A 20,442-nucleotide genomic window follows, 5' to 3' on the forward strand; every position below is an offset into this window, starting at 1 on the left:
ATTTATATATTATATATTTAAGATATATATATTTATATATTATAGATTTATATATATTATTATATATAATATAAATTATATATTATATATATAATATATATTATAATATATATTATATATTATATATATATAATATATATTATTATATATAATATATAATTTATATATATATATAATAATATATTATATATATTATATATGTATTTTTTGTGATGGGGATGAAGGCTAGTATCTTTCTTACTCCATAATCTTGGTGGTATCTCAGAAAACTTTCTTATGTCTCATAATTTATGTCTTTGCAGAGCCAGCCAGCCACTTTGTCGGTCATCAGGGCAGATAATCCATGGGTGCCAAGAACAATGTGACTGAGTTTGTTTTATTTGGCCTTTTTGAGAGCAGAGAGATGCAGCATACATGCTTTGTGGTATTCTTCCTCTTTCATGTGCTCACTGTCCTGGGGAACCTTCTGGTCATCATCACCATCAATGCTAGAAAGACCCTGAAGTCTCCCATGTATTTCTTCCTGAGCCAGTTGTCTTTTGCTGACATATGTTATCCATCCACTACCATACCCAAGATGATTGCTGACACTTTTGTGGAGCATAAGATCATCTCCTTCAATGGCTGCATGACCCAGCTCTTTTCTGCCCACTTCTTTGGTGGCACTGAGATCTTCCTCCTTACAGCCATGGCCTATGACCGCTATGTGGCCATCTGTAGGCCCCTGCACTACACAGCCATCATGGATTGCCGGAAGTGTGGCCTGCTAGCGGGGGCCTCCTGGTTAGCTGGCTTCCTGCATTCCATCCTGCAGACCCTCCTCACGGTTCAGCTGCCTTTTTGTGGGCCCAATGAGATAGACAACTTCTTCTGTGATGTTCATCCCCTGCTCAAGTTGGCCTGTGCAGACACCTACATGGTAGGTCTCATCGTGGTGGCCAACAGCGGTATGATTTCTTTAGCATCCTTTTTTATCCTTATCATTTCCTATGTTATCATCTTACTGAACCTAAGAAGCCAGTCATCTGAGGACCGGCGTAAGGCTGTCTCCACATGTGGCTCACACGTAATCACTGTCCTTTTGGTTCTCATGCCCCCCATGTTCATGTACATTCGTCCCTCCACCACCCTGGCTGCTGACAAACTTATCATCCTCTTTAACATTGTGATGCCACCTTTGCTGAACCCTTTGATCTATACACTAAGGAACAACGATGTGAAAAATGCCATGAGGAAGCTGTTTAGGGTCAAGAGGAGCTTAGGGGAGAAGTGACATTCCAGAGAATCTCAATCCAGCTAGGAAATTGGGAGACTTTCCATCTTGTAGCATCTAACACAGCCTTTTTATTTCCAGTCTGATGTTTGCAATGGCAATTATCCTCCTAGCTCTTGTTGTTATAATAATTCCACATATTCTTTCAATCCTTTATTCATTAAATATTTATTGGATGTTTACAGTGAGTGAGAATACAAATAAAAGTAAGATATAATCTTTCCCTCAAGGAGAGTACAGTCCAGGATGCTTTTAGTGCGATATTTAAGAGCTCATTCAGGAAACGTGTGAGGGCCTGTGAATGAGGGAGTGTCTTGGAAGTCCAGATATCTCATTGATAAATGAATAAAATCACTACATAATTCCTTTGTGTTGGCTAACACAGTGCTCAATGGAATTCATTCTTTTCTTTTAAGAGTAAAGAGCCACTTTACTCTTACCCTTTCATGCTCTCAGCAGGCAGATAAATAAATAAATAAGTAAATAAATAATGTGGAGAGGTCAAGGGATTTACTAAAAGTTACACTTTAACTCCAGAGCAGGGTGAGGACTAGAACACAGGTCCCTAAGTCAGCTTTCAGAGCTTTTCCTCAGGACCTCTTGATAAAGTGTGACTAAATGGACACCAAGCAGGAATGACCAAGAACTTTTGAAAGACCAGGAATGATGGTGATGATGACTTGGGATGATGAAGAGAACAACCAGGAAGAACAAGTTGTCAGCACTTCTTTCAGTGGTGCTGATTCCTCTCTCCAGCAGAACAGCTGACTGCTGCCCTCTTTAACCCCTGTTGCTTTGCTCCATTTTGCCGCTAGAGGGAGCCAAGTTTGTACAGAATGCAATTAAACGAGCCGGATTAGGTATCTCTTAAACATTCGTGGGTCATGTAACCTCATTGGGCCTCAATTTCCACATTTACAGAAGGAGATATTGACAATACCAGCTTCAGAAGGCTGTGAGAGGACCTATAAGACTTTGTAAAGACCTAAATCAAAGTCTGTTGTTCAATGGTGGCTGCTAGCTGTTTTAACATAATATCTTCGATTCCCCTTTCTCTTCCTATTCACCCCTCTATCCTTTCCCTCAAAGCCCTTGTAACCAAACTATCTGATTATTTCATTTACTCCAAAAATGTTTATTGAACACTTAGCATTTGCTGGGTGATATTCCTGGGGCTAGAAGTACAGCACAAAAGAAAGCAGGCAAAACTCTTTGTTCTCATGGAGTTTATATTTCAGTGTGTGGTAAAAGCTGACCCTTACTGAATTCTTCCAATCTGCAGACACTCTTCTAAATATTTTAATTGTATTAACTTTTTTGATCCTTTCAACAACTTCATGAATGAGATATAATCATCAGGAATGTGATGAGAGTTGGGTGAGAGTGGTGGTAGTAAAGAAGACTCATTAGTACCATCTGATGCTGAACAAACACAAATGCAAACGTTGATCTTGATTATGAAAAAATAGTAGCAATAAAATAGCAGTTGACACCTTGAAAGCATAATATTCTCAGAAGTTTTCATACACCAGCTTAATCTGTGTTGGATAAATAATCCCCTTATAAAACTCCTTGGAACAATGTGGGAGCATGCATGAATGGTTATTCAGGTTTAAAGGTAAGTGGCCGGGCGCAGTGGCTCACGCCTGTAATCCCAGCACTTTGGGAAGCCAAGGCGGGCGGATCACGAGGTCAGGAGACTGAGGCCATCCTGGCTAACACGGTGAAACCCCGTCTCTACTAAAAATACCAAAAATTAGCCGGGCGTGATGGCGGGCGCCTGTAGTCCCAGCTACTCGGGAGGCTGAGGCAGGAGAATGGCGTGAACCCGGGAGGTGGAGCTTGCAGTGAGCCAAGATCGCGCCACTGCACTCTAGCCTGGGCGACAGAGTGAGACTCCATCTCAAAAAAAAAGAAAAAAAGATAAGTGGAGATACAGACAGGCTAAACTATGTACATAGGCCACACACAGACTTCTGATTGCTAGTTTAGTGCTCTTTCACTACTGCTTTCATACAGTATTTTAAAGTAGAGTGATAGTGGTATGTATGTCTTACATATATATTCAGGCATGCATGTATGTATATATATATATTCATGAAGATGAAGACAGGTATATAAGGCGCAATCTCAGCTCACTGCAACCTCCACCTCCCAGGCTCAAGTAATTCTCATGCCTCAGCCTCCCTAGTAGCTGGGACTGCAGCACATGCCACGAACGTCCTGCTAATTTTTGTATTTTTAGTAGAGACGGGGTTTCACCATGTTGGCCAGGCTGTTTCTGAACTCCTGACCTCAAGTGATCTGCCTGCCTCGGCCTCCCAAAATGGTGGTATTACAGGCGTGAACCACCATGCCTGGCCTCTACTCTTTTCTTTGAGGAAATTGAAGCACTTACATCATGGATTTGTCAGATCAGAGGTGACTGGAAAGCAATCACTCAGGAATCCCACTCTTTGCCTAGACTTCTATTTACAGAAGATTGACCAACTCAGGAGCCATTTTAAGGTGTGAAATCATAGGTGTGCTTGATATGGCAGATGTTTCTTTCTGCTTCATGCTGGGTTGAGGGAAGAGGGGGAAATTGGGTTGGAGGAAGTAGATCATGTACTTCAGGGGAAAAAAGTCATCTGAGTTTCAGCTACAAGTGAGAAGACTGGATAAGTACTACAGGAGGAGCTGCATAAGGTATGAGAACTTGGCATTAAGAGAAGAGACTGCTGTATGATACAGTGGAAATTACACTAGATGGAAAGTCAGGAAACAGGGTTCCAGTTGCAGAGCCATCCCCACCTCCATCCAAGTTCTCAGGGCTCCCATTTCCTGATGTATACAATTAAGGAGATTGGTTCGAATCTCTAAGGACCTTCAGCTCAGATATCCTATGATTCCATTTTGTTCAGGAATATAGACTACATGAAATCTGGGTCAATCTTATTTTTTTCTCATTTTATTCACATATTTCCTTAGAATTATTTTTAGGTGATTTTATAAAAAGAAAATATTGCATACAGTTCCCATAGATTTATGGACTTGACATAATTATCACAAGAGGGAAAAATATCAAATTAAGAAGATTTAATTGTGTTTTTCACTACTCTTCCTCTCTAAGAGACAACTCCATTTTAATGTTCCTACTACAGGTATTCTGAAAGTTACTAGTAGATGAAGCTCATTGACTGGTCACTCAGCTACTCTGTCAGTACATTTACCCTTCAGTACTGAGTTTTCCGGGAGGACTTCTTAGTTATAAATACAAACAAGATGTAATTGTTATTATAAATTTACTTATTCTGCTGTGGTTGGAGAGAGAGCAGAGAAAGAATGTGGTGGTAGGTATGGTATTGGGAAGGGACTATGAACTTCTCCTTCTTGGAAGGTGAAAGTGTCCACAGTGAAGGCAGAAAAGGAAGGTAGGCTAGAGGTGAGAAGGCGCCCCATGGCTGATTTCTTTCGTAAAAGATTGGAAAATATTATTACTTAAACATATTTGATACAAATAATGTATGTATTATTTAATATATGTAATATGTAATACATAATAAAATTATATATTAATGTTATAAAGCATAATTAATAATCATCTATGAACTTGTTATCAACTTAAGAACAATCCTAATAGCTTGTGTCATATGTGTCTTCTCTATTCTATTTCTTTGCCTTCACAGTGATAACCAATATTCTCGTTTGGTTGATGACTTCCTTACTTTATGAAAATAGATTTAACATATGTGTATATACACCTAACCAATATGTTGTTTAATTTTTCTTATTTTTAATTTTATAAAAATAGTGTTACACATTTGTAGTCTTCTGACTTGCTTTTTTCGCTTAACATAGTATTTCAAAAATTCATCCTTGTTGTTGAATGTAATTGTATTTCATCGTTTTTACTATTGCACAAGATGTCATTGGGTGAATATGCCATAATTATTTTACTATTCTTTTTAAAATATACCTTGGTTGTTTCCATATTTCTCAGCTATCTGAGTGCTGTTATGAACATTCTTGTATGTGTGGAAAAGTTTTCCTGGGGCATATACCTAGGGATTGAATTGCTATGTTGAAGGGTATGCAAATGTTTCAACTTTACCGAAAAAATGTCAATTTGCTTTTGAAAGTGGTCGTACCAATATTCACTCCCTACAGCAATGTATAAGAGATTCTGATGATGTACATTCTTGCCAACACATGGCATGGTCAAAACACTTTAACAGTTTTGCCAATCTTGAGGGTACTCATAGTATACCCTATGTCTTAGTCCCCTTTGGTTGCTATAAGAAAAATGTTATACACTGGGTGGCTCAAACAACAAACAGTTACTTCTCACAGTTCTAGAGACTCCAAATTAAGTCCCAGATTCAAGCACTGGCAGCTTTGATATCTGGTGAGCTGGGGACCTGCTTCCTGGTTTATAGATGGCCGTCTTCTTTCTGTGTCCTCACATGGTGGTAGGGGTGAGGGTGCTCTCTACAGTCTTTTTTAAAGGAGGATTAATCCCATTTATGACAGCTCCATAAAAAGAAAGATATTTTTTAAACAAGCACAAAAAGCACTAACAATGGAAAATTTAAAACTAACTACATTGAAAATAAAAGTGTTTAGCACAGAATAAAATGAAAAGATAAGCCACAAGTTAATCTTATAACTGATACGTAACTGACAAAGGATTAGTCCAAATATACACAAAACTCTTAGAAATCTATTTTTTAATTCAAATAAATCAATAGAATAATAGGCAAAAGATATGATAGGCAATTTACAGAAAAGGAAGCACATATGAGAAGATGCATATGAGTTATCTCATAAAATACAAGTAATGGGATACCTTTGATTTGGTTAGGTGTTACTAGGCAAAAAGTCTTTTGAAAATCTAAAGGCATAGATTTCTGTGGAAGTAACTTATTAAAGAAATGTTCTTAGGATAAACTGGAAAGGGGATACTGGAAGCAAGACAGAGTAGTGGAGAAATCTAAACAAGGATGCAGTTTCAAGTAATTTTCAGCACAGGATCACTTTAGCCTTATCTTGCAGGGAAATGCTGGAGTGTAAATGATGCCAAGAGTTGTTTTGATTTGAGTTAAGGATGTAGCTTTCATATGCCCACACCATTCAGACGTTATTTAAGGGCTTCTCTGGGGCTGGAGTGGGGCGAAAGTCCCAGGTACTTTTGTTTGTCCATTAATATGGGGAAAATGGACTCCAGTGGCCCAAAGGCAGCAGGTGGTAGCTGTTGAAAATTGTTATGGTTTGAATATCCCCATCTACAACTCATATTGAAATTTAATTGCTATTGCAACAGTACTAAAATGTGGGGCCTGTAAGAGGTGATTGGGGGATTAGGTCTATTTAAGAATGGATTAATGTCCTTATCCCAGGAGTGGGTTAGTTATTCCAGGAGTGGGCTACTGATAAGAAAGATGAATTTGGCCAAATTTCCTCTCTCCGTCTTGCATCCTTCCTCACCATGTAATGCATTCTGTCACGTCTTCATGTCTGACATGTCTGAAGACATGTCATCATGTCTTCAGATGCTGGCACTATGCTTTTGGACTTCTCAGCCTCCAGAACTATGAGTCAAAAAAACTTCTATTGCTTATAAATTACATGGTCTGCAATGGAGAAAAATAGAGAACCCAGAAATAAGACTGCACTGCTGCAACCATCTGATCTTTGACAAACCTGACAAAAACAAGCATTGGGAAAGGATTCCCTATTTAATAAGTGGTGCTGGGAGAACTGGCTAGCCATATGCAGAAAATTGAAACTGGACCCTTCCCTTACACCACATACAAAAATTAACTCAAGGTGGATTAGAGTCTTAAATATAAAACTCCAAACTATAAAAACTCTAGAAGAAAATCTAGGCAATACCATTCAGGACATAGGCATGGGCAAAGACTTTATGATGAAAACACAAAAAGCAATTGCAACAAAGACAAAAATTGACAATTGGGATCTAATTAAATTAAAGAGCCTCTGCAGAGCAAAAGAAACTGTCATTAGAGTGAACAGACAACCTACAGAATGGGAGAACAGTTTTGCAATCTCTCCATCTGACAAAGGTCTAATATCCAAAGTCTGTAAGGAACTTAAACAAATTTACAAGAAAAAAACAAACAAACAACCCCATTAAAAAGTGGGCAAAGGCCATGAACAGACACTTCTCAAAAAAATAAATTTATGTGGCTAACAAACATATGAAAAAAAGCTCTACATTACTGATCATTAGAGAAATTCCAATCAAAATCACAAGGAGATACCATTTCATGCCAGTCAGAATGGCTATGATTAAAAAGTCAAAAAACAACAGATGCTGGTGAGGTTGCAGAGAAAAAGGAATGCTTTTACACTGTTGGTGGGAGTGTAAATTAGTTCAACTACTGTGGAAGACAGGGTGGTGATTCCTCAAAGCTCTAGAGGCAGAAATACCATTTGACCCAAAAATCCCGTTACTGGCTAAATACCCAGAGGAATATTAATCATTCTATTATAAGGGTATATGTACACTTATGTTCACTGCAGCACAATTCATAATAGCAAAGACACGGACTCAACATAAATGTTTATCAATGATAGACTGGATAAAGAAAATATGGTATATATACACCATGGAATACTATGCAGCCATGAAAAGGAACAAGATCATGCCCTTTGCAGGCACATGAATGGAGCTGGAAGCTGTTATCCTCAGCAAACTAACACAGGAACAGAAAACCAAACACTGCATGTTCTCACTTATAAGTGGGAACTGGATGATAAGAACACATGGACACATAGTGGTGGGGGAACAACACATGCTGGGGCCTGTTGGGGGTGGGGCTGGTGGGAGGGAGAGCATCAGGAAGAATAGCTAATGGATGCTGGGCTCAACACCTGGGTAATGGATTGATCTGGGCAGCAAGCCACCATGGCACATGTTTACCTATGTAATGAACCTGCACATCCTGGACATGTACCCCAGGACTTAAAATAAAAATTTAAGAAAAAAATATATCATGCCAGTCTCTTCTGGCCTGTAAATTTTCCACTGAAAAGTATGCTGCCAGGTGTATTAGAGCTCTATTGTATGTTATCTGTTTTTTGTTTCTTGCTGCTTTAAGTATCTTTTCTTTATTCTTGACCTTCGGGAGCTTGATTTAAGATGACTTGTGGTAGTTTTTAGGATAAATCTGCTTGGTGTTCTATAACCTTCTTGCACTTAGATATTGATCTCTTTCTCTAGGTTTCGGAAGTTCTCTATTATTATCCCTTCGAGTAAAGTTCCTACCCCTGTCTCCTTCTCTACCTCCTCTTTAAGGCAAATGATTCTTAGATTTGCCCTTTTCAGGCTATTTTCTAGATCCTGAAGTTGTGCTTCATTATTTTTTATCCCTTTTTCTTTTGTCTCCCCGACTATATTTTCAGATAGCCTCTCTTTAAGCTCCACAATTCTTTCTTCTCCTTGATCAGTCCTGCTATTAGAAGACTCTGATGCATTCTTCAGTATGCCAATTGCGTTTTTCCACTCTAGAATTTCTACTTGATTCTTTTTAATTACTTCAATCTCTTTGCTAAACTTACTTGATAGAACTCTGAATTCTTTTTCTGTTTTATATTGAATTTCCTCGAATTCATCCACATAGCTAATATGAAGTCTCTGTATAAAGGGTCGTGTATCTCTGTTTCTCCAGGTTTGGTCCCTGGTGCCTTATTTAGTTCATTTGGTGAGGTCATATTTTCCTGGAGTCCCTTGATGCTTGTAGATATTTGTCTATGTCTAGGCACTGAAGAGTTAAATATTTATTGTAGTCTTGTGGGTCTGGATTTGTTTGTACTCATCTTTCTTGGGAAGGCTTTCCAGATATTCACAAGGACTTGGGTGTTGTGATCTAAACTGTACCTGCTTTACAGGGTACCAAAGCCCAGTAATCCTCTGTTTCTTGAGGACTTGTTGAGGTACCACCTTGATGGTTTTGAACAAGATCCAGAGGAATTCTCTGGATTACTAGGCGGAGACTCTTGTTTTCTTCCCATACTTTCTCCCAGATGAAGAAGTCTCTTTCTGCTCCAAGCCAGCTGGAGCTGCGGGTGGAATGACACAAACCCTGCTATTGCCACCACTTGTGGGACTGTGCTGAGTCAGACTGGAAGCCAGCACAACACTGGGTCTTGCCCAAGGCATGCTATAACCACTCCCTGGCTACCACTTTTGTTTGCTGAAAGCCATGGGGCTCTATAATCAGCAGGTGGCAAAGCCAGCTGGGCTTATGTCCTTTCCTTCAGGGTAGTGAGTTCCCTCAGGCCCTGGGCAGGTGCACAGGTGCTGTCCAGGAGCCAGAGACAAGAGTCAAAAATCTTAGAAGTCCACTTGGTGTTCTATTATGCTGTGGCTGACGTGACACTCAAACCATAAGATGCAGTCCTTCCACTCTTCCCTTTCCTTTCCAAAGGTAGAAGAGTCTCACCCCATGACCTCCAACACCTCTGGCCCACAGGGAGTATAGCCAGACTGCTGCCAATGTTCCCTTAAAGCCCAAGGGCTCTTCAGTCAACTTGTGGTGAATGCTGCCTGGCCTGGGACTCACCCTTCAGAGAGGGGGCTCCCCTATGGCCCAGGGTCTTGTCCTGTAGCCACCACTTTAGGAATATGCTGAGTCTCACTTGAGACCAGCTAGTCTCAGTGTCTCAGCCAAGGCCCTTGATGTACTACCTTTGTATTACTGATAGTTATTCAGGGCCCAAGGGCTCTTCAGTTAGCAGGTGATGAACACTATAAGGATTGGGTCATTCCTTTCAAGGCAGCAGGTTTTCTTCTGACCAAGAGTATGTCTAGAAATGTCCAAGGGCTAGGCCTGGAAAGGGCCCTCATGCCTCTGACTGGTTCCCTATCCTGCTTGGCTGAGCTGGTATCCAAGATGCAAAACAAAATCATTCCCACTCTTCCATCTCTTTTCAGCTGGTAGGAAGAGATCTCTTTTGGAGCCTCAAGCTGTGCAGCCTGGAGTTATGGGAGGAGTGATGCCAGCACTCTCAGAGCCACCCTGGCTAGTGTCTCAGTAGGTCATATGACCCCCCAAGTCCACTGTCTCTGGACTCAGTTCAGCACTGGGACTCACTTAAATGTTGCAGTCCTTGTGGCTAGTCAGCCTTTCCAGTTTATTTGGAGCCCCAGAACAATTTAGCCCATAGTGGTTAGGCTTGTGGGAACTCAAGTTCCAACCACCAGGATTGGCAACTCCCCTCTGGCTAGGGCTGGTTTAAATGCACCCTCCATGGGTGGGTGCCAGTTGAGTTTGGTCTGCTTTTGCTCTGTGCTATAACAAGGGGAGGACTGAGTTCAATGCCTTACAATTACTGGCTATCCCTCTCCTCAGGGCACAGAAACACTCTGCACCACACTGCCCTGCCAGAGGATGGGGGAACAGTGGTGTTGGTGATACAAGACTGTTTTTCCTGCCTCTTCTGTGTCTCTTTTAGCAATATGAAGTTGAAACTAAGTACTGTGGGTGTTCACCTGATTTTTGGTTCCTATGAACGTTCTTTTTTTGTGTAGGTAGCTGTTAAAATGGTGTCCTTGCCAGGGGGATGATTGGTGGAACCTAGTTCACCATTTTGCTCCACCCCAACCAACAAGAATCTCAAGACAGTCTCTTCCATACATGTTGTTGGAAAAACTGGGATATCCACATGCAGAAGAATGAAACTGGACCCTTCTCTCACACCATAAACAAAAAAGAGCAACTCAAAATGAATAAAGGTTTAAATGTAAGAGCTGAAACCGTAAAACTAGAAGAAAATGGGAGGAGCAATGATTTCTTGGATATGATCCTGAAAGCACGGGCAACAAAACAAAAAATAGACAAACGGGATTACATCAAACTAGAAAGCTTCTGCACAGGAAAGGAAACAATTAGGGTGGAGATTCAACTCACAGATTGGGAGAAAATATTTGCAAACAATAATCTGATGGTTTGCAAATCATAATATATTTTGGTTACATCCAAAATATATTAGGAACTTTAATAACTTAATAGCAAAAAAATTGATGTGATTAAAAAATGGACAAAGTATCTAAATAGACATTTCTCAAAACAAGACATACAAATGGCCTATAGGTATATGAAAAAATGATCAATATTTTTAATCTTTAGGAAAATGTAAATTAAAACCGCAATGAGATACTGCCACACACCTGTTACAATGGCTGTCATAAAAAAGATGAAAGATAACAAGTGTTGGTGAGGATATGGAGAAAAGGGAACCCTAGTACACTGTTTATGGGAATGTAAATTAGTATGGTCATTAAGGGAAATAGTAAGGAGTTTCCTCAAAAAACTAAAAAAATAGAACCACCGCATGATCCCAAATCCCACTTCTGGTAGTGTTTTTAAAGGAAATAATGCCAGCATGTTGAAGAGATATCTGTACTCCCATGTTTATTGCAGCATTATTCACAATAGCCAAGATATGAAATCAATCTAAGTATTTATCAGTGAATGAGTGGATAAAGGAAATGTGGTATATATACACAATACAACATGATATGGCATTACAAGAGAAGGAAATTCTGTCATTTGCAAAGACTTGGGTGAACATGGAGGACATTATGTTAAATGAAATAAGCCAGGCATAGAAAGACAAATACTACATGATCTCATGTACGTGTGGAATCTAAATAATCACACTCAAACTCATAGAAGTAGAGAGTTGAATTTTGGTAACTAGAGGATGGGGACAGTGGCTAGACAAGGGAGAAGTTGATCAAAGAGTACAAAATTTCAATTCGCCACAGGAATAAGTTTTAAAGATCTGTTGCACAACATGGTGACTATAGTTAATAATATATATTTCAAAATCGCTAAGAGAGTAGATTTTTAAACGTTCTCACTACAAAAAATAAGTCGGTGATGTGATAGATATGTTAATTAGCTTCATTTGTTCATTTCACAGTATGCACATATATCAAATATCACATTGTACAAATAAATAAATAAATATATATGTTTATAGTATCATTTGTAAAGCAAAAAAATCAAGGCAAAATGTTTGAATTATGAAATGGAACACCAATATAGCCACAAATCAGGTCAAGAAGTAGAAGATTGCTAGCCCTTCCTCGACCCAATATTTCTCTTCCCAGTCACACCTCTATCATACCTCTCAAAGCCAACACTAACGTGGCTTTTTTGATAAAACTTCTTTGCTTTTCTTTATACTTTTATACATTTACCACCTAAGTGCACACCCTTAGTTTTGCTTATTTTTAAAGTTTAAATCAAGCAATAATACAGTGTGTAATCATTTGCATTTGGAGTCTTTGACTCAACATTGGGTTTGTAAGATTTGTTCATGTTGTTATCTGTGCCTGTAACTCATTATTTTCATTGCCATATTAGCTCGTTATATGAATATACCATCAATTTTTAAATCCATTCTATTATTGATGAACATTTGGCTTGTTACCAATTTTGTGCTGTTACAAATAATGCTTTATTAACACTCTTTATGATGTGTCTTCCAATGTACAAGTGCACACTTTTGTTTTGGATTTCTACCTAAAAGTGGAGTCTGAGTCATGGCATGCATATATATATATATATATATATATATTCAACATTAGTAGATAACATCCAATAGTTTTCCAACATACACTTAAAAAACAAATATACATTTCTACCAGTGGGCATGAGTGATCCCACTCCTCTATATTGACAGCAAATACTGGGTATTGACAGTCTTTAATTTTAGCCATGCAGAGAGCATTGCCATGGTATTTTGTTGTGGTTTTACATATTTTTTTCAGATAACTAAGAGGTGAACCACCTCCCAACTTTCTTACATGTTTACTTTCCATCTTTTCTGAAGTGCTTGTTTAAGTCTCACATGGTAGTCTGTCTTTATTTTGTTTATCTTATAAGGTATTTCCTTATATATTCTGTATCAGTCCTGGTTCTCTGAGAAGCAGATGCTAATTTGGAAATACTATGCAGCTACTAAGATAAATATGCAAGAGATTTATTGGGGAAAAACTAGTGAAGGATGGTGGGAGAAGCTACCAGGAATAATTCAGGTGTAACTCCTATGAAGGAGAGAGGGAGGGGAAAAAAAAGGTAGGTTCCAGATTACAATGTATCTCTAAGTAAATTTTGTCAAGACTGACAGGGAGTCTTTGAGTTAAAGGTGTAGAGTGGAGATTGCAGGTTGGGGAAGGGAATTTTGAAGAAATTGAGAAAGGTTGTACATGGTTCTTGAGAGTTGGGAACTCGTGTCGACTAAAGCAATATACTAGGATTGCTGAGCAATATTGATGTGCCTTTTGAAGTTGGTGACACAAATTTATACAAACTAAATCTTCCCTATTTTGTGACTTTCTGGATGCTTTCAGAAAGGTCTGGTGAAGGCTTAGAATAAAATTCATCTAGTGTGGGAGAATTGCAGGGTGCATGTGGCAATACAGACAAGGGTATCGGAAATGTAAAAGGTTACAAATGTTTACAAACATAAATTGTTACAAAGTTTGTTGCATATATGATAAGTATTAAACATGTCTATCCCTCTTACTCAACAATTCTATTGTATAACATGTGGGACTATATCTGTTGGATTAATTCCTAAAAGTGGGATTGTTGGGCTTAGGCAGGAAGGTAAAGCAATGCCGCCTTTTTGGAGAGAAATTTTCAACATTTATCAATGAAACTGAAAAGTTAATTTGATTAGGTCTTCCTGCCTTGCTTCCTTTTGGTTGTTTGCTTTTTGTTATTGTTTTTCCTTTTTCCATAAAGCTGAAGGCCAGGATAGTTGAAAAGAGTACAAGAGTTTATAGAAAACTTGGTAGAGTTCCAATTTAGTAGATGTTTCCTACTTTGTAGATAACATTCATAGGTCACTGTAGCAATGGTTGTTTCAGTTGTTTTTCAGGAACTTGGGTCAGCTCCTGTCCATTTCAAACCAGTGAGACCACTGACCCTTGAATTGGACCTGCACAGTACTGGAGAGGTGTCATTTTGACATCGGAGGCCAAACACCTCCACCTTCAGATTAGGCTAACGTTACAATTTTCTGTACATATGTCCTATGAAATGCCCTGAACCCTGACTATGCTTCCTCAGAGCAACCCCATTACTTCATTTTCCCCCACTGCCAGTCACCTTTCTCCATGCTTTAGACCACCCCACTTCCCTAACCCATAAATACCCCTAAGCCTTATCTTTGGGGAGGCAGGTTTGAGAGCTGCTCCTCCTGCCTGCTTGCTTTGCAAATAAATCTTTTCTCCTTGACAAAACCCGAGTTGCAGTGATTGATTTACTGTAGGTGGGCAGAATGGACCTGGACCTGGCCAGTAATGTCGGCATTAAAAATATTTATACAATTTACCCAGCAATTCCTTATATTTGATTTTGTAATTATTCTATTTGTTTAGTTTTTCTTCCTGTTTTGGTTGGCAGGTGGCCACTGCCCCTTTTAGAATATAAACTCCATGCTGCTGGGAGCCAGGTTCATCATATTCACCATGATATTCCTGGCATTTAGCAAAGTGTTGTCTTTTATTAGCTAGGGCCTGAGTAATAAATACTGAATGATCAAAATGGTGGAAGTGTAATTCCAATTCAGATTGTTCTGACTGTAGTTCCCTTGATATTTTAGCATGCTACATAGTAGAGGTGTGGATAATGGACAGTGATTCTTCTCTCTTTGCTTTGAAGGGGGGAGACAAAAGAGAAGATGGATGTGAGAGGGCCTAGGACCATGCCTAGAATGCAAGAGATGCTCAATAAGTGCTGCTGATTTTGTTGTTGTTCAGTCAGTGATTTCCTTATAAACACTGACCCTTCAATATCAGGTTCTGAAATATCCTAGTTTCCTTCCTTCTGGATAATTTGTGAACTCTCCCTAGAGACTAGAAGGACATTTGGTACTTTTAGAAGGAAGAATGCAAGTTATTTCCTTGTGAGACCAAAACTCTATTCAAGGGGACTAATTAAATGATGGCATCAATGTTGTTCTCACCTGTGAACAAGGCTCATTCTGACACCACTTCAGCAAGAGATCCTGTGAGGGAGAATTTGTCTCCCTTGGAGAGGCGGAAAGCATACAGTACTAATAATCCCTATGTTCTCATTTCTACCTTATAAATAATAAGCCTTTGCGGTGGAGGGAGAAAGATTTTCTGAGACTGTGCTGGTGAATATTCTTAGCAGAAAGCAGAGTTAACAAGTCAGCTATTCCTTCTGTGAGGCTTTTCTCTTGAATTTTAGTGGCAGTGCTTTTTGACTTGTCAAAGCCTGGGGAGTAAAAGTGGAAGGTGGTGGCTGTATTGGGAAGGGGACAGTCTGGGTGATGAGCCACCCAGGTTCCAGCTGTGTCTCTGTCACCTATTACTCATGTGACTTTAGATAAACTGCATTTCATCTTTCTGAGTCTCAAAGCTGAGTCACCAATCACTCATGTGACTTTAGATAAACTGCACTTAATTTTTCTGAGTCTCAGATCCACCATTTACATGGAGGCCATTGAAAAGAGTTTGAAATGTCATAGGATTCTTCAGCAAATAAAAGGGAAGTAAGATGCTACTCTTGGAGGAAACTGGGTGAAGGGCTCCTGAGATTGACTCTATCAACTATTTTTGCATCTTCTTGTAAGCCTACATTATTTCAAAATAAAAAGTTGAAAAAAAGAAAATGAAATATAAACTTTTTCAGATATGCAAAAACTAAAAGAATTCATCACCAGCACACCTGCTCAAGAAATATTAAAAGAAGCGCTTCAGGCAGAGGCAAAAATAATACCTAAGCAAAGGAATAAAAAGCACCAGAAATGGTAAATATGTGGGTAAATACAAAAAAAAAAAAAAAAAGGGAAATGGATGATGGAACAAATTCCCAGCTGCTTATAAATAAATGACCCCCTTTTGGGATTTTACCTAGTACAATTCTAAGAGACTCTCAGCTTAGCTGAGTTTCTGTAATCAATAGCAACTTCCTAGCCTGTGCTTTGCCTCAATGTAAAAAGCAATTTGAATCTCTCCAGGAATTTAAAAACATGAACTATTGAAATTCAGGATCATACGCTTGGAGTTGGCCTTGATGACATTTTAAACACTCTTCCAGGTACATCATTCCATGATGTTCGAATGTAGAAAAAAAAATCTGAAGACCTGTTAGTCTGTTGGTGTCCCCAGATCCAGTCAATGTAAGTTTTCTATAATGTATTTTTACAATAAAATGCAAGAAAAATGCAACCCAAATAAAAATACAATGGAATTAACTTACTAGAATTCTCATTATTTTCCACAAAATAATTTTATTTTTCATGGATAATTCAAACAGGAGACTTTCTTTCTTTACTAATTTTTAACAAGTACTTTATCTGACATTCCCACAAATTTGAATCACAGAGATGAATCAGCTTATCATTTTCATTTCTGGGCATATAAATCCATTATTTGTCTACATTGTATACCACTCACACTGATTACATTTTCTCTACCACTGCTGTGTTCTGCATGAGGATCAGTATTAGAGCATTTTTCATATTTATAATGAAACTATACCCATATTAATACCTGCTTAGTCCTGAATGTATACATTTAAGTTTTTGTCTCCTTAAGCCATATGAAGAATTTATTGCCCGGGATGACGACGATGGTCATAGAGACTCCATGTATTGAATGTTTACTGTACAAATGCTTGATATACATTGCTTTTTATGTCTCTCTGCAGCCTCAGGGTGTTGCTGTACTCTTATCTTCATTTTACAGATAAGAACATTGAGTCTCAAGAAGTTGTTCATAGTAACACAGCCAATAAAATGGCAGAGAAGGGGAGGGATTCAAACCCGATGTGTTTAAGTGACAGTATGGTACTGTGAAGCCCACAAACTCTGTGGCAAGACTGCCTCAGTACAAGCCCCAGTTCTGTCACTGATTAGTTAAGCATTTCTTACTTTCTTCCTCTGAAAATGAGGATAAAAACAGTAATCTACTTCATGGGAATGATGTGAGGATTAAACAAGCTGACCTATGTAAGTGTTTGGATAGTGCTTGGCAAAGGCTAAATTCTATGTAGGTGTTTCCTCTCATCACTGTTGTCTGTGTTTTTGGCCATAATGTTCTACCTTCAAAAAGTCCCCATCAGACTTGTCACTTGCAGGAGCTATATTTACCTTCTTGCAATGAAGTGTAGAGAGAGAAAAAGGTAGCAGTTTCATGATCAGTATATGAATTTTCTCTCCAGTGTTTCTATATATCTGGGTACCTCTTTCTTCTTCTGACACTTGATGGTTCTCCTTTAATTCTTGTCATACTGAGCATTAAATCTGCAGCAAGTTGGAGGATTCAACTACTTTAAGAAGACCTATGTTTCCAGGAAAAGGATAGGGTGGTGGAGAGGGTTAGTGACAGTTTCAAAATTTAAGATAGGCACAGGTGTTACCAAAGTGCCAGGGGTTTTGTCTAGGTCCTGCTGTTGGCCACACAGAAAGCCAATTACTGAGATGAGTATTCCTGGGGAAAAAGGCTTTAATTGGGTATTGCAGTTGGAAGGTAGATTAGTCTCAAATCAGTCTCCTCAACCAACTGAAATTAGGGGTTTATATAGCAGGGAGGAAACGTTAACTGTTAAAACAGGAGTTAGAGACAGGTAAGGAAGAGGAGTTGGACAATAAGAAGTAGGTGGTCGGTTAGGAAAACAGGGAGGGCTAAGGAAGCAATTATGATAAATATGGAGTCTGATATCTTATTGCCTGAATACAGTGATTTGGTGAGTTTTAGTTTTTTGATAGTTTTTGGGATGTCTGAGGGTGAATGTTTTGAGGAGGGAATTCAGATAAGAGAAATGTAAATTTTAAGACCAGAAGAGCAATTTTTAAGTCCCTCCAACAAACCCCACAACTATCTACTGGACTATTAGGTCTATTTCATAGGCATTTCCTTAGTATCATTAGGGGAATAAAGGGTGAGTAGGAATATTCTGCCACATAAGGTTATAACTGATAGCTGGTTAAGACAGAGCATCTGTTCCCTCCGCCCTTGTAGCTTCCCTTATGTAGTTATAGGCAGATAATCATCTACTAGTACCTTTCACTGATACTCCCCTTTTTTTAAATTTTGTTTTTTACTTTGAGTCCTCCCCGTAGATTGCAGGGGGACTAGTAGTCCTTAACTAGAAGGATTACACCAAGGTCAGAGAAAGCAAAACTCAGAAGTATGTAAAAATGTACAAAACAAGGGGGAGGAGAAAGCTAAGTTGTCTTCCTAGGCATGATGCTATTCACAGTATGCAGATGCAGCAAATGAGAAAGTAGAGAAGTAGAGAATTTGGTAAGTTTCTAGCCACAACCAAGTCAGTTTCTTCCAATCCTGCTTTAGTTTGTTTTATATCAATTTGTATTAGCATTGGAAAAACCAACAAAAAGTGTAACCAACCTCATTGCAAACCCCAAGAAGAAAGTTTAATTCAAAGTATGGACCATACATGCAGAGATTTCAGGAGATTTCAGGAGGTCTTAACTCTACATGGTTTTCTCAAGTGTGATCTAATCTATGTTGAAAGTGATCAGAGATTTACTCCAGTTTGAAATGGAAAATAAATGTCTGATAAATGTTCAATCCCAGCAGCCACAAAAATGCAAATTTAGATAATTAAGTTATTATTTTCATCTAATAACTGAGATATGTGGTGCCCAGTGATGCTAAAGTTAACAGACATTTTGTGGTCAGAAGATTAAATTTGTATAAGAATTTTGGAACAGAAGAGGGTTAAGAGGAACAAAGGATATATTAAAGGAAAACTTGCAATGTTTTTCCCCCATGCAATTAGTTCTATTACTTATGTTTCTCCTTGTCTTTATAGGCAATACTGCACCTGCATTCTCAGTGACCTTGGAATCTATGGACATACCACAAAATATCACAGAATTTTTCATGCTGGGGCTCTCACAGAACTCAGAGGTACAGAGAGTTCTCTTTGTGGTCTTTTTGCTGATCTATGTGGTCACGGTTTGTGGCAACATGCTCATTGTGGTCACTATCACCTCCAGCCCCACGCTGGCTTCCCCTGTGTATTTTTTCCTGGCCAACCTATCCTTTATTGACACCTTTTATTCTTCTTCTATGGCTCCTAAACTCATTGCTGACTCATTGTATGAGGGGAGAACCATCTCTTATGAGTGCTGCATGGCTCAGCTCTTTGGAGCTCATTTTTTGGGAGGTGTTGAGATCATTCTGCTCACAGTGATGGCTTATGACCGCTATGTGGCCATCTGTAAGCCCCTGCACAATACTACCATCATGACCAGGCATCTCTGTGCCATGCTTGTAGGGGTGGCTTGGCTTGGGGGCTTCCTGCATTCATTGGTTCAGCTCCTCCTGGTCCTTTGGTTGCCCTTCTGTGGGCCCAATGTGATCAATCACTTTGCCTGTGACTTGTACCCTTTGCTGGAAGTTGCCTGCACCAATACGTATGTCATTGGTCTGCTGGTGGTTGCCAACAGTGGTTTAATCTGCCTGTTGAACTTCCTCATGCTGGCTGCCTCCTACATTGTCATCCTGTACTCCTTGAGGTCCCACAGTGCAGATGGGAGATGCAAAGCCCTCTCCACCTGTGGAGCCCACTTCATTGTTGTTGCCTTGTTCTTTGTGCCCTGTATATTTACTTATGTGCATCCATTTTCTACTTTACCTATAGACAAAAATATGGCATTATTTTATGGTATTCTGACACCTATGTTGAATCCACTCATTTATACCCTGAGAAATGAAGAGGTAAAAAATGCCATGAGAAAGCTCTTTACATGGTAAGAAATTGCAGGTGGAAAATGAGTGGTAAAGCAGGAAATAAAAATGACTTTATTTTTGTAAGTGAAACAAACCAAGCCTTACTTTTTTTGTATCATGTATAGTTGTATTCCATCTTAAGCATAATTTCATCTTCACTGACTTTTTTTTTTTTGAGACGGAGTCTCACTTCAACACCCAGGCTGGAGTGCAGTGGCACGATCTCAGCTCACTGCAACCTTCGCCTCCCAGGTTTAAGTGATTCTTGTGCTACAGCCTCCTATGTAGCTGAGGTTACAGGCACCCATCACCATGCCCAGCTAATTTTTGTATTTTTAGTAGAGATGGAGTTTTTCCATGTTGGCCAGGCTGGTCTAGAACTCCTGGCCTCAAGTGATCTGCCCACTGAGGCCTT

The 20,442-nt window shown here is 39.1% G+C and overlaps 2 protein-coding genes across 2 annotated transcripts; both read left to right on the top strand.

Moving 5' to 3' along the window:
- The first annotated feature begins 343 nt into the window (after positions 1-343).
- Positions 344-1,273, top strand: OR4S1 (olfactory receptor family 4 subfamily S member 1). The gene has a single exon (NM_001004725.1). The coding sequence runs from the start codon at positions 344-346 to the stop codon at positions 1,271-1,273; it is 930 nt and encodes a 309-aa protein (NP_001004725.1).
- Positions 1,274-19,040: 17,767 nt separating this feature from the next.
- Positions 19,041-20,076, top strand: OR4C3 (olfactory receptor family 4 subfamily C member 3). The gene has a single exon (NM_001004702.2). The coding sequence runs from the start codon at positions 19,143-19,145 to the stop codon at positions 20,049-20,051; it is 909 nt and encodes a 302-aa protein (NP_001004702.2). The 5' UTR covers positions 19,041-19,142; the 3' UTR covers positions 20,052-20,076.
- Positions 20,077-20,442: the final 366 nt, after the last annotated feature.

Source organism: Homo sapiens, chromosome 11 (genome assembly GCF_000001405.40).
Source record: "Homo sapiens chromosome 11, GRCh38.p14 Primary Assembly".
Classification (NCBI taxonomy): Eukaryota; Metazoa; Chordata; class Mammalia; order Primates; family Hominidae; genus Homo; species Homo sapiens.

Bases quoted from the DNA above. Each gene is read 5' to 3' on its own strand.
- OR4S1 (NM_001004725.1), top strand. From the start codon at position 344: ATGGGTGCCAAGAACAATGTGACTGAGTTTGTTTTATTTGGCCTTTTT.
- OR4C3 (NM_001004702.2), top strand. From the start codon at position 19,143: ATGGACATACCACAAAATATCACAGAATTTTTCATGCTGGGGCTCTCA.